Genomic DNA, 10,669 nt, shown 5'->3' with positions numbered 1-10,669 from the left:
TTTGTTCAAAGATTTAAGATTTCACACTGAGGACAGAGTAAAAGACTTTAATGAACCTCGGGATAGTTCTGCTCATCTTTTGTGACACATTTGAAGTTTCTGGTTTACATACTGACAGAAACCAAGAGATGGTCCAAAACCAAGAGATGGTCCACCAAGCTCCCAATTGCTAAGCACTAATGAAACCCATTTAAAAACACAACTACTGACATACTATCTAAATTTTTTATTCCATGTCTTTCCTACCATAATATGGTATCAATAAGGAAAAACATTTTGTAGTGCTCACAGTTTACAACCACAGCCCAGAAGTTACTGCCCGGCAGTCATTCATAGTCACTCAAGGAATGTATGCATATATGAGTCCTTCCAACATTTCTTCATATATAAATGACTTCCAACATTTCTTCTAACTTCAAATCCAAGTTTAAGTTTGAGCCAGGTCATAGAGCAAAAGAGCTTTTACAAGTAAGGTATCTGAAATACAAAAAGAACTAGAAAGTACAGTTTTGCTGCAAAGTTGAAAAGCTGTACCTGAGGTAGGGGTACACCAAGTGAGTTATTGCTGAAGAGAAAAATCAAAGTTGATAATCACTTGGGGTGAAAGGAAAGCATGAAGACCTATGCACTGGATCCTTCTAAGGCTTTTGCACTGAGTCAAAATTGGAAGGCTAGCAAAGAATGCTGTCTCTTTGAAAGCAAGGTATAGAAAGTTTCTGGATGTAGATATGTTTGTCTTTAACAAGAATGTTTTCCAAATTGACAAAGTGGTCTACTAGTCAATTGTGAAATAAATTTAATAGCTTGTGATATTTAGGAAAAAAAAACAGATAAAGTATCATATCAGAATAATCACAAGCAGTAATGGTGTCATTACATAAAAGGCCTTCTAAAGACATACATATAAGCCTACACGATATAAATGTTTGAGAGGCAACAATGTAAGATCCATTTCTTTTTATGAATGTGGACTTTGGAAGAAGCAAATGGGATGCAACTGTGCAAACATTTTGAGGGAAAGGCTAATGCTCATGTCCTGGTTTTTAGTTTTACTTTTTCTTTCCTGATATAATGGATAAGGAAATCGAATTTTATTCCCTTCTATGGGGGAATACCTAAGAAATAGAAATAAAAGTCCTTATTGTAAAATATTCCCTCCCCGAATGAATATGCTCTGCTACAAATGCTCAAAGAAAGTCATAAACAAAGCATGTTATTCAGTTTGGTTACAACTATGACACTATAGGTTCCCCAAGATATGGGTCAACTTGTACAGACAGGCAAACACATGCAAACACACACACACACACACACACACACAAAGAGAAATTAGAATTAGGTTAGGAATTCATTAGAAGACAAAAAATATTTTGCAATATCCCTTATTTATGCTGATTTGTTCACCACCTATTAGTTACCTCCATGGAAGACAGATTTCCATTAACTCATTTATTCAACTAATATTTATAGTGTCTCTGCCATATACTAGGACTATTCTAAGCACTGAGGAGACAGAAGCAAATAGATAACATTCCTCCACTCCTGGAGATTACACTCCAGTGAGGAGACAAACGTCACTAAACAAAAACATATATGAGGTGATAATCAGTGCTTACACACAATATAAGGCAGTGCACAGAGAGTAAATGGAGAGAATGTATTTTTAATAGGGTGGTCAGAGGAGGCCTTTCTTTTTTTTTTTCTTGAGACAGTCTCGCTCTATCGCCCAGGCTGGAGTGCAGTGGCACGATCTCAGCTCACTGCAACCTCTGCCTCCTGGGTTCACACCATTCTGCCTCAGCCTGCCGAGTAGCTGGGACTACAGGCACCCACCACCACGCCCAGCTGATTTTTTGTATTTTTAGTAGAGACAGGGTTTCACCGTGTTAGCCAGGTTGGTCTCGATCTCCTGACCTCATGATTGATCTGCCCACCTCAGCCTCGCGAAGTGCTGGGATTACAGGCGCAAGCCACCGTGCCCGGCCGAGGCCTTTCTTATAATACTAAAACTGAGCAAAGAAATGAATGAAGAAGGGACCAGAAGGATTATAGGTAAAAGATTATTTCAGGCAGAGGGAAGAACACACAGGGTTGTGAGGCAGAAGCATCCTTGATAGGTCTGAAAAGCAAGAGGGAGGACAATGTGGCTGGAATTCACAGAAAGAGAGTATAGAAGATATATTTAGAGAGGTAGTGGGGGATGAAAAGCACACCGTGTAAGACTCTGTCAGCCACATTAAGTGGATTTTACTCTATGTAAAATAAGTCACAGAGAATTTTGAGCAGAAGAACAACATAGTCTGACACAAGGTAACAAAAACTCACTTTGCCACTTAAAGAACAGAATGTAAGAGGAGAGGGGTGGGAGCAGGGCAAGCAGTACAAAGGGTGTTGCAATAATCCAGGAAAGACAGTTGGCAATTTGGACCAGGTGATGGCAACAAGGCTAAGAAGAAGCAAAGCAGATGGACAGTTAACTATAAGAACTCATAACTGTTTGGTTTTTACCTAAATTTCCCTGTCTTCGGGTTGCTGTCGTCATTATCCAAAGCTGCTCATTTCTTTCTATAGGTGATACATCTTGTTTGAAGGGTGGATGCCCTGTGAAAATGCCAAATCACAAGTTGAAAATGAACATATTAGAGTTAAAATACACTGGAAATCTGAGTTGCAACTGCACATTCAAGACACTGAAAGCAGTGTTTTTCAAACTTTTATTTAAATTGTGACTTCAGTAAAGAAACACCATTTATTTCATGACCCAGACACACATGCGTAAATACATATTATGAAAACCAAGTTTGAATAACCTATTTTTAACTAATGTCTGTTTTCCTTAAATCTCCCATTGGTTCTCACATCACTCAAGCAATTGGCCAGAGTTTTTGCTGCAGTGTGTGCCATTCTTCCTAAGGAGTTCTAGTATTTTCTACCCTATTTTATTTCATTAAAATCTGCTGATGACATTCAATAAGTTGGTTTTATAATTCAATACTGGGACAGGTGTAAAACATGAAAAAGAATAGACAAGGCATAGCAGTATTCTGTTCATTTACAGTTCTTCTATAAAACACAAATGAAAAAGACCTAAAATATTCTGTTCAGAAAGACCAGAAACATCCAGTGTCTCTGCATCCCACAAAAATTAGGAAAGTCAGATTCCCACACTCAGGGAACAATTTCAAGGGCCACAAAGCCTTAAAACTCCAAGGGCACAAAGATATTCCAGAGGGAGGCTGTCCTCACCCACTGACAGCAGGTTCCTAAAGTTCTCCACCATCACATCTCGGTACAGCTTCCTCTGGGCAGGGCCCAGCAGCCCCAATTCCTCCTCCGTGAAGGCCACAGCCACGTCCTTGAAGGTCACTGCTTCCTACGACAAAAACAAATGACCTCAATCTTACAACCAATGTCCACTAGAAGATGGGTAACACTGAGAACAGGTGGAAAGTTGTTCTGGATGCCCAGCCGTTTGTAGATTTCCCAGCCCTTCTCCTGTCTTGCCAATGCCATACACTGACTTACCAAAAGTGCTGCTGTGAAAAAGAAAGCTTTGTATATTTACTGGATGCTCTCAGTGAGTACTCTTATAAGGGAATTTCCTGGAACTGTTACCTGCTGAACCTAAAACATTGCCAATTTCCCCAGAAAGGTTTACCAATTGAGTCCCAATAGTGTTTGATAGCACCTGCCTTCCTACTGAGGTGGGAGCCAAGTGAGCAGCGTTATATGTGGAAACAAACCTAAAGGGCATGTCAGGTTTCTGAATGAAGGACTCTCTCTGTCCTCCTGTCTTGGTCTTTCACTTGAATATAATACACTGATCCCGGATCTTTAGTTTTCCATGTGAACTTGAGCACGTTCCTCATTTTTCACAAGCCCTTTTCTATTTATGTTTAAAATGGAGACAAAACAAAGAACCTCTTCATAGTTGCTGTGAGGTCTCAATACAGGGGCAGAGTGTAAGTGCTTGGCAAATCCTTTCCTACCACTAGGCATTTTAAATTAAGGTCACATACTACTTTAACTAAAAAAAATATTAAAAGGGAAAAAGACCAGTAAACACACAGGGTATGACTGAGGCATGGGGAAGACAGAATCTAGCTCTTGTAGTAAAAAAAAGTCTAATATTTTTTCTGGGTGAAGCAGCTGTTAAATCTTGACACACTGTGCCATATTTGAATATTCTATCAAAAAAAATCTGAAGTACCACACACAAAACATACCTTTTCAATTCTGAATACCTAATGTTACGGATTTTAAAAGGCAGTATTTTTCAAAATTGATTTTTTCAGAAAAAGTTAAATGCAAGAAAACTAACACTGTAGTTCCTAAAACAGTAAAAATCCTACACTAACTGTATATAGAGAATAGTTTAAAAACTGGATACATAAATTTGATAGAAATACAACAAAAATAAATGTTATAAATGTAAGAAATGTAAAATTATATCTATGTTATGAATGCCAATATATAATTACAAGTACATACAATGAAGAGATTATGGAAATAAGATTTTTTCATTTCTATTAATTTTTTTTTTTTTTTTTGAGACAGAGTCTTGCTCTATTGCCCAGGCTGGAGTAGTGGCACGATCTTGGCTCACTGCAACCTCTGCCTTCCAAATTTAAGTGATTCTCTTGCCTCAGCCAACTGAGTAGCTGGGATTACAAGTGTGCACCGCCATACCTGGCTAATTTTTTTATTTTTTATTTATTTATTTTTTTGAGACGGAGTCTCGCTCTGTCACCCTGGCTGGAGTGCAGTGGTACGATCTCTGCTCACTGCAAGCTCCGCCTCCCAGGTTCAGGCCATTCTCCTGCCTCAGCCTCCCGAATAGCTGGGACTACAGGTGCCTGCAACCACGCCTGGCTCATTTTTTGTATTTTTAGTAGAGATGGGGTTTCCATGTTAGCCAGGATGGTCTCGATCTCCTGACCTTGTGATCCACCCGCCTCAGCCTCCCAAAGTGCTGGGATTACAGGCGTGAGCCACCATGCCCGGCCTAATTTTTGTATTTTTAGTAAAGATGGGGTTTCACCATGTTGGCCAGGCTGGTCTCAAACTCCTGACCTCAAGTGATCCCACCCCCTGCCTCGGCCTCCCAAAGTGCTGGGATTACAGGTGTGAGCCACTGTGCCCACCCATCATTTCTATTAATTTTTCTACCTTTATTTGTAAAATAAAAATGACGAAATAAAACTAAAACCAAAACCAGCTAAACTCAAACGGAACAAAATAAGCACCTAGCACACTCAACAGGTCATCAGATGCCTTGACTCTTACTTGAAAAAGAAAAACCTGGTTCCATCTCTGAGTACTAAAATGGTATTTTTAACAGCTGGGAAAGGCAAGCTCTACTCACCTTGAACATATTCATTTTTAATTCTTCCTTCTGGGGAAGTGCAGAGTCCTAAGAAGCTGAACTAGGAAAGAAGAGAGAAATAAATCAAAACTGGGTAAGTATGTTGCTAATGCACGTGGCTGCTCTTTAGGAATTAGCAAAGGTGTGTGCTTCTTGGGGTGGCTGCAGCTTTATGTGGCTTTTAAGCAGATTATGACATGGATCCCAGATATCCAACTACCCCTTTCAGCAGTAGTTCAGAACCAGGCTAACCACACAGTGGCCTCACTGCCCATGTGCCTGTAATTGCACGCCAGTAATTCTTATTTTGAGTACAGCGTAAATTGAGACAATATAAGTACAGTAGGCCTGGAATTGATATGCATGGGTTAAAATCCTGACACTAAAAGCGTCACCTTGGGGAAACTATTAACATCTCTTTGCCTTACTTCTGTCATCTGCAAGTGGTAAAGAATAACAGTACCAACCTCATCGGATTGCTGGAAGGTAGAAAGCTCTTACAACACAGTCAGGTATCTTATTTATTTGCAACTGCAATAAGTAGAAGATGGTCTATGGTTTGAAATTATCCTTAAAAATATAATTTCCACCAACAGAATATTATAAGATAGTTGGAGTTCACAGGTTGTTGCTATGTCACGTGAAAGTGTCTTATAACTTCTGAAAAACATCTTGTCGTCTTTCCAATAATTTGCCAACACTGAACTAATAAAACCGAAGATACCGCAATTAAAAAACACCGTTTGACAATCCATACCTAACTTAAATTAAAAATGCAGGAACCTGGCCAGGCACAGTGGCTCATGCCTGTAATCCTACTAGCACTTTGGGAAACCAAGACAAGCAGATCACTTACAGTCAGGAGTTGAAGACAAGCCTGGCCAACAAGATGAAACCCTGTCTTTACTAAAAGACAAAAATTAGCTGGACATGGTGGCAGGCACCTGTAATCCCAGCTACTTGGGAAGCTGAGGCACAAGAATTGTTTGAACCCAGGAGGCGGAGGTTGCAGTCAGCTGAGATTGCCCCACTGCACTCCAGCCTCGGCGACTGAGTGAGACTCTGTCTCAAAAAAAAAAAAAAAAAAAAAAAAAAAAGGAAAAGGGAGGAACCTGAGTCTATATTGTTATAAACAAAAGAATGTGTAATAAATAAATGGGTGACAAAAGAAAGCTCCTATAGTAGAACACATAAACTAATAAAGGTAGAATGAAAGATAACTAGAACATCATCAATAGCTGCTAAAAACTGGTGAGTTTGGTGAGGAATAAGATGGCTACATAGTCTCAAAGTATTAAGTGCAAAAGGAAAAAGGTAACCTGGCAGACATTTTATCCAAAAAAACAAAGTTGAGACCACTAGTGGGACAAACCCACAAACCAACATTTGACTCCTATGATGCACTGAGAAGGATGCCTCCCTACTTTTATGGCATCTCTGCTGACAATGCATAGCTTGAATTTAATCATGAATAAATATTAAGGAAACAAAAAAATAAGAACATTTTACAAATAATTTCTCAATACTCTAGAAAGATATCGAGAGCAAAAAAGAAATAAAGTCTGAGGAATCATTCTAGACTAAAGGTGACTAATGAAACCAAAACTAAGTGCAATGCATACAATTAGACTGGAAACTCATCTGGGGGAAGAAATTACTTTCAAAGTCTTTAATGGGAAAATGGAGTAAGTTTAAATACAAACTGTGGGTTAGATAACAGTAAGTTATCAATGTAACTAATTTCATTTTCATCACTATCTCTAGCTTGCTCTCAAATACTTCAGCAAAAAGACAAAAACAAAATATAAGTATGACAAAGTTGTGAAAGCAAAAAGACAAAAAAAAAAACAAAACAAAAAACTACTTTGACAACAGCAGCAACAACCAGAACCTGGTGTTTCCAATTTATCAACAAGAATGAGACAGGTCTACTCAGTGATCATGGTGAAAAAGAAAAAAACAAAACAGCTTGTAACACAGAGAGAAATACATCCTACATTGATAAAAATAGCCAAATAATTGCCTCTTCCATCTAACATGACCACTTTGTTATCAGTGACAACTCCAGTCTTGTTATTTCCCCACCTCCAACATAAAAATTACAATAGTCTGATCAAATTACTACTGCTTCTTCACAGCATCCAATCCAGAACAAACCCATTGCCTAAAACTCTCCCCAACTCATCTAACATAAACCAAAACCCTATAACCAGGGTCCTCCTAATTGCCTCTTACCAAGACACCCCATGCATGTGTGGGCTCCTTGGATGCAGCAAGCTAAAACAAACAATTGTTGTTGGTTACAGGTATGTTCCTGGTGATGGCTGATGGTCATCAACAGAGCACACAGGGAAAACATAACATAACAAACAAACGTAACAACTGGTGAATCTGGGTGTAGAGTATATGAGATTTCCTTACGTTATCATTTTTGCAGCTTTTCTACAAGTTTGAAATTATATTTTTAAAAAAAGTTGGCTGGGCACGGTGGCTCATGCCCATAATCCCAACACTTTGGGAGGCCGAGGTGGGTGGATCACCTGAGGTCAGGAGTTCGAGACCAGCCTGGCAAACATGGTGGAACCCCATCGCTACTAAAAATACAAAAAAATTAGCCGGTGTGGTGGCGGGTGCCTGTAATCTCAGATGTTTGGGAGGTTGAGGCAGGAGAATCTTTTGAACCTGGGAGGCGGAGGTTGCAGTGAGCCGAGATCACGCCATTGCACTCCAGCCTGGGCAACAAAAGTGAAACTCTGCCTCAAAAAAAAAAAAAAAAAAAAAGTTAAAGAAATTAGGAAAGTCATTAATCAGAATAATAACGATGACGAGATGATGACAACTATGGCAATAATATCTAACGTTAATTAACAATAAATAGGTAGCTGATCTTCCCACTTCAGGCAGAAGGCCTCCAGTACAAAAGATGGGAAGGAATCTACTCCCCAAAGCCTGGGAGAAATAGATCTTCAGGACTCTGAGTTTCTCCATTTTGACTCTAGACTTGACAGCTGCCTTCTACTCATGTCATGGTTTTTGCAAAGAAACTTGACAGTTAATATTTAGTGGGAAAGAAAAATCACTGGACTGAGTAGGGTTCTAGTATGGCCAGCTCAGTTTTATCTGTGACATCTGGCAGGGTCAGTTTTCTAGTCCTGAGTTTCCAGATAAGACCTTTTCCTGAGCTTCTCAAACTTTAACATGCATCTCGCTCACCTTGGGATCTTGTTGAAATGCAGATTTCTGGGTCCTATCTGCAAAAATGCTAAATCAGAAGGCCTTCGGTAGGGCTCAAGAATGAGCCTTTCTACCTGGGTGATGCCAATGTTGCTGCTTTGTGAACCACAGTTTGAGTAGTGTTGCACTGTACTCAGTCCCTCTCCCAAAACAGCCCCTAATAAACAGAAATATATACAAGAAAAACTTGACAGAAAGGCACTAAACTATAGTTGTTATCTTTATACCCTAAGGTCATGGGGAATTTACATTTTTTAAATGTATTTCTGTGTTTTCCATGATTATGTGTTACCTCTATATTATTTGAAACAAATAAAACTAATAATTGAGAAAACTATTTTTAAAAACTCTTTTCTTTTTTTGAGACAGAGTCTTGCTCAGTTGCCGAGGCTGGAGTGCACCGGTGTGATCTCAGCTTACTGCAGCCTCGCCTCCTGGGTTCAAGCGATTCTCCTGCCCCAGCTTCCCAAACTCCTGGGATTACAGGTGTTGGCCACCACGCCTGGCTAATTTTTGTATTTTTAGTAGAGATGGGGTTTCGCCATGTTGGCCAGACTGGTCTCAAACTCCTGGCCTCAAGTGATCTGCCCGCCTCAGACTCCCAAAGTGCTGGGATTACAGGCGTCAGCCACTGTGCCCAGCCACTATTTTTTAAAAGTCATAGAATAGCCCAGACCTTGAGCAAAGTCCCCACAGTGAAGTCCCAACCTATTTTCACATGATACTAGCCAGCTGCCTATGGCTCATGCAGAACATACCAAAGAAGACTCAGGTCTAGACTCAGACTGCCTCGGTTTCAATGCTAGCTCTGCCTCCTACTAGCTAGGTGGCTATGAGCAAACAAGTTATGTTCTTATGTCTCAGTCTCCTCGGAAAAAGAGTATCACTTCACAGAGCCACTGTATAGTGGAAAGGTGTTCATTTGTATAAACCCCTTAGAATGGAACTTAGCAACTAACGCTAAATTATAATCACTTCTCATGCCCAAATACATGACCCCACACATTCTCTGATTTATGTGAATAAAACAAGAATAACAACAAGTCTTACTCACATGGGGTTCTGCTGCCTCCTCCTCTGTGCAGTGCTTTTTGAGAAGTCAGGGCTGGGGAAGAAAAACAGGCTATGAAGTAACCAGGATTGTGTCTTCATCCCGGATACATCACAGTGGCATCTCCCAGGACCAGTTAGAAGCAACCCTCTCCTTCCTCAAAAGAGGTCAGGGACAATCCAGCTTCATGGACTCACAGAATTTCGCCACAGAACGGGAGTTTCTAGGAAAATTACAGTAGTATTGGTAATTCACGTGCCAGGCAGTTTTACACTTTTTGTATTACCTCGTTTTCTCTCAAAACATTCTATTAGGAAGTTTTTGCTTTTATTTTCCTTCAGAACAGCAAACGAAGGCACGGGGATTAACTAACTCGCTCAATGTGATACTGTATGAAGTGGTAGGGCTGGCTCATTAGGTGGGGGAGTCACAATGAGGGAGCGAACAGCCCGAGAGACCTTCAAACCCGACGAAGCATCACCCCAGCCGCCCGAAGCCAGTACGCCCCCAATTCTAACAAGCTCCGCCCAGGGAAACGCAAAACAGCATCCTGGCCCCTCAAACCTCCGCTCTTAGCCGCTACTCCTTTTTTTCCCCAAACAAAAGACCGCTAGCTGCTGACCACAAGTGCATTTCGGGGAAGTTTGAAAGGTTCCTGAGAAGCTGACCTGAATCACCAAAGCCAGGGAAAAGATGGCTGCTACGTCGTCTTCCTGGGCGGAAGTGCCTGCGAGTATCAGGAGGACCTGGACTACGCTTCCCAGAATTCCACAGCACTGCCTTCCTCGAGCCGGAAGTGCCTACAACTACCTAGAACGATTGGACCTACAGTTCCCAGGATTCCGCAGGGGAAACATTTACAGCCTTACTGCAGCTGAGCTATGCGCGACTACACGGAACTCCGGACTACATATCACAGAATGCTGGAGTTGGGGGAAAAACAGAACAGTACCGCCCTCCTGGACTACACTTCCGGAATGTCCAAGCCTTCTGATGTGGAAGTGTCCAACTACCTTGAG

The 10,669-nt window shown here is 40.7% G+C and overlaps 1 protein-coding gene across 34 annotated transcripts in view, besides 2 other annotated features; it reads right to left on the bottom strand.

Annotated features, from left to right (window-relative positions):
- ZNF226 (zinc finger protein 226) overlaps positions 1–10,361 on the bottom strand; it is a 34,391-nt gene extending 24,030 nt beyond the window's left edge. For 9 of the 34 annotated variants that reach the window (XR_007066992.1, XR_007066995.1, XR_007066994.1 and 6 more), the window contains exons 1-5: positions 10,319–10,361; positions 9,654–9,704; positions 5,366–5,426; positions 3,247–3,373; positions 2,509–2,601 (exon numbers count right to left, since the gene is read on the bottom strand). Coding sequence is in view for 26 of the 34 variants with exons in the window: in NM_001032373.2 (NP_001027545.1) it covers positions 2,509–2,601; positions 3,247–3,373; positions 5,366–5,380 (235 nt within the window). In the remaining 8 variants the exon portion in view is untranslated. Of the gene's footprint in view, positions 1–31; positions 478–2,508; positions 2,602–3,246; positions 3,374–5,365; positions 5,427–5,832; positions 5,897–7,600; positions 7,643–8,578; positions 8,757–9,653; positions 9,874–10,214 lie in introns of those variants that run through there. The other 25 variants (XM_047439374.1, NM_001388175.1, XM_006723367.4 and 22 more) reach the window with 25 other exon arrangements.
- Positions 10,340–10,459: an enhancer, noted in NCBI's record as "active region_14757". NCBI's record gives its function as "activates an Ori minimal core promoter by ATAC-STARR-seq in GM12878 lymphoblastoid cells {active_cell/tissue: GM12878}" and the evidence as "EXISTENCE:reporter gene assay evidence [ECO:0000049][PMID:35858748]".
- Positions 10,520–10,669: an enhancer, noted in NCBI's record as "active region_14756". NCBI's record gives its function as "activates an Ori minimal core promoter by ATAC-STARR-seq in GM12878 lymphoblastoid cells {active_cell/tissue: GM12878}" and the evidence as "EXISTENCE:reporter gene assay evidence [ECO:0000049][PMID:35858748]".

This window comes from Homo sapiens, chromosome 19 (genome assembly GCF_000001405.40).
Source record: "Homo sapiens chromosome 19, GRCh38.p14 Primary Assembly".
NCBI classification, from domain to species: Eukaryota; Metazoa; Chordata; class Mammalia; order Primates; family Hominidae; genus Homo; species Homo sapiens.
The sequence above is the reverse complement of the archived record's forward strand: the minus strand, read 5'-3'. Positions and strand labels throughout refer to the sequence as shown.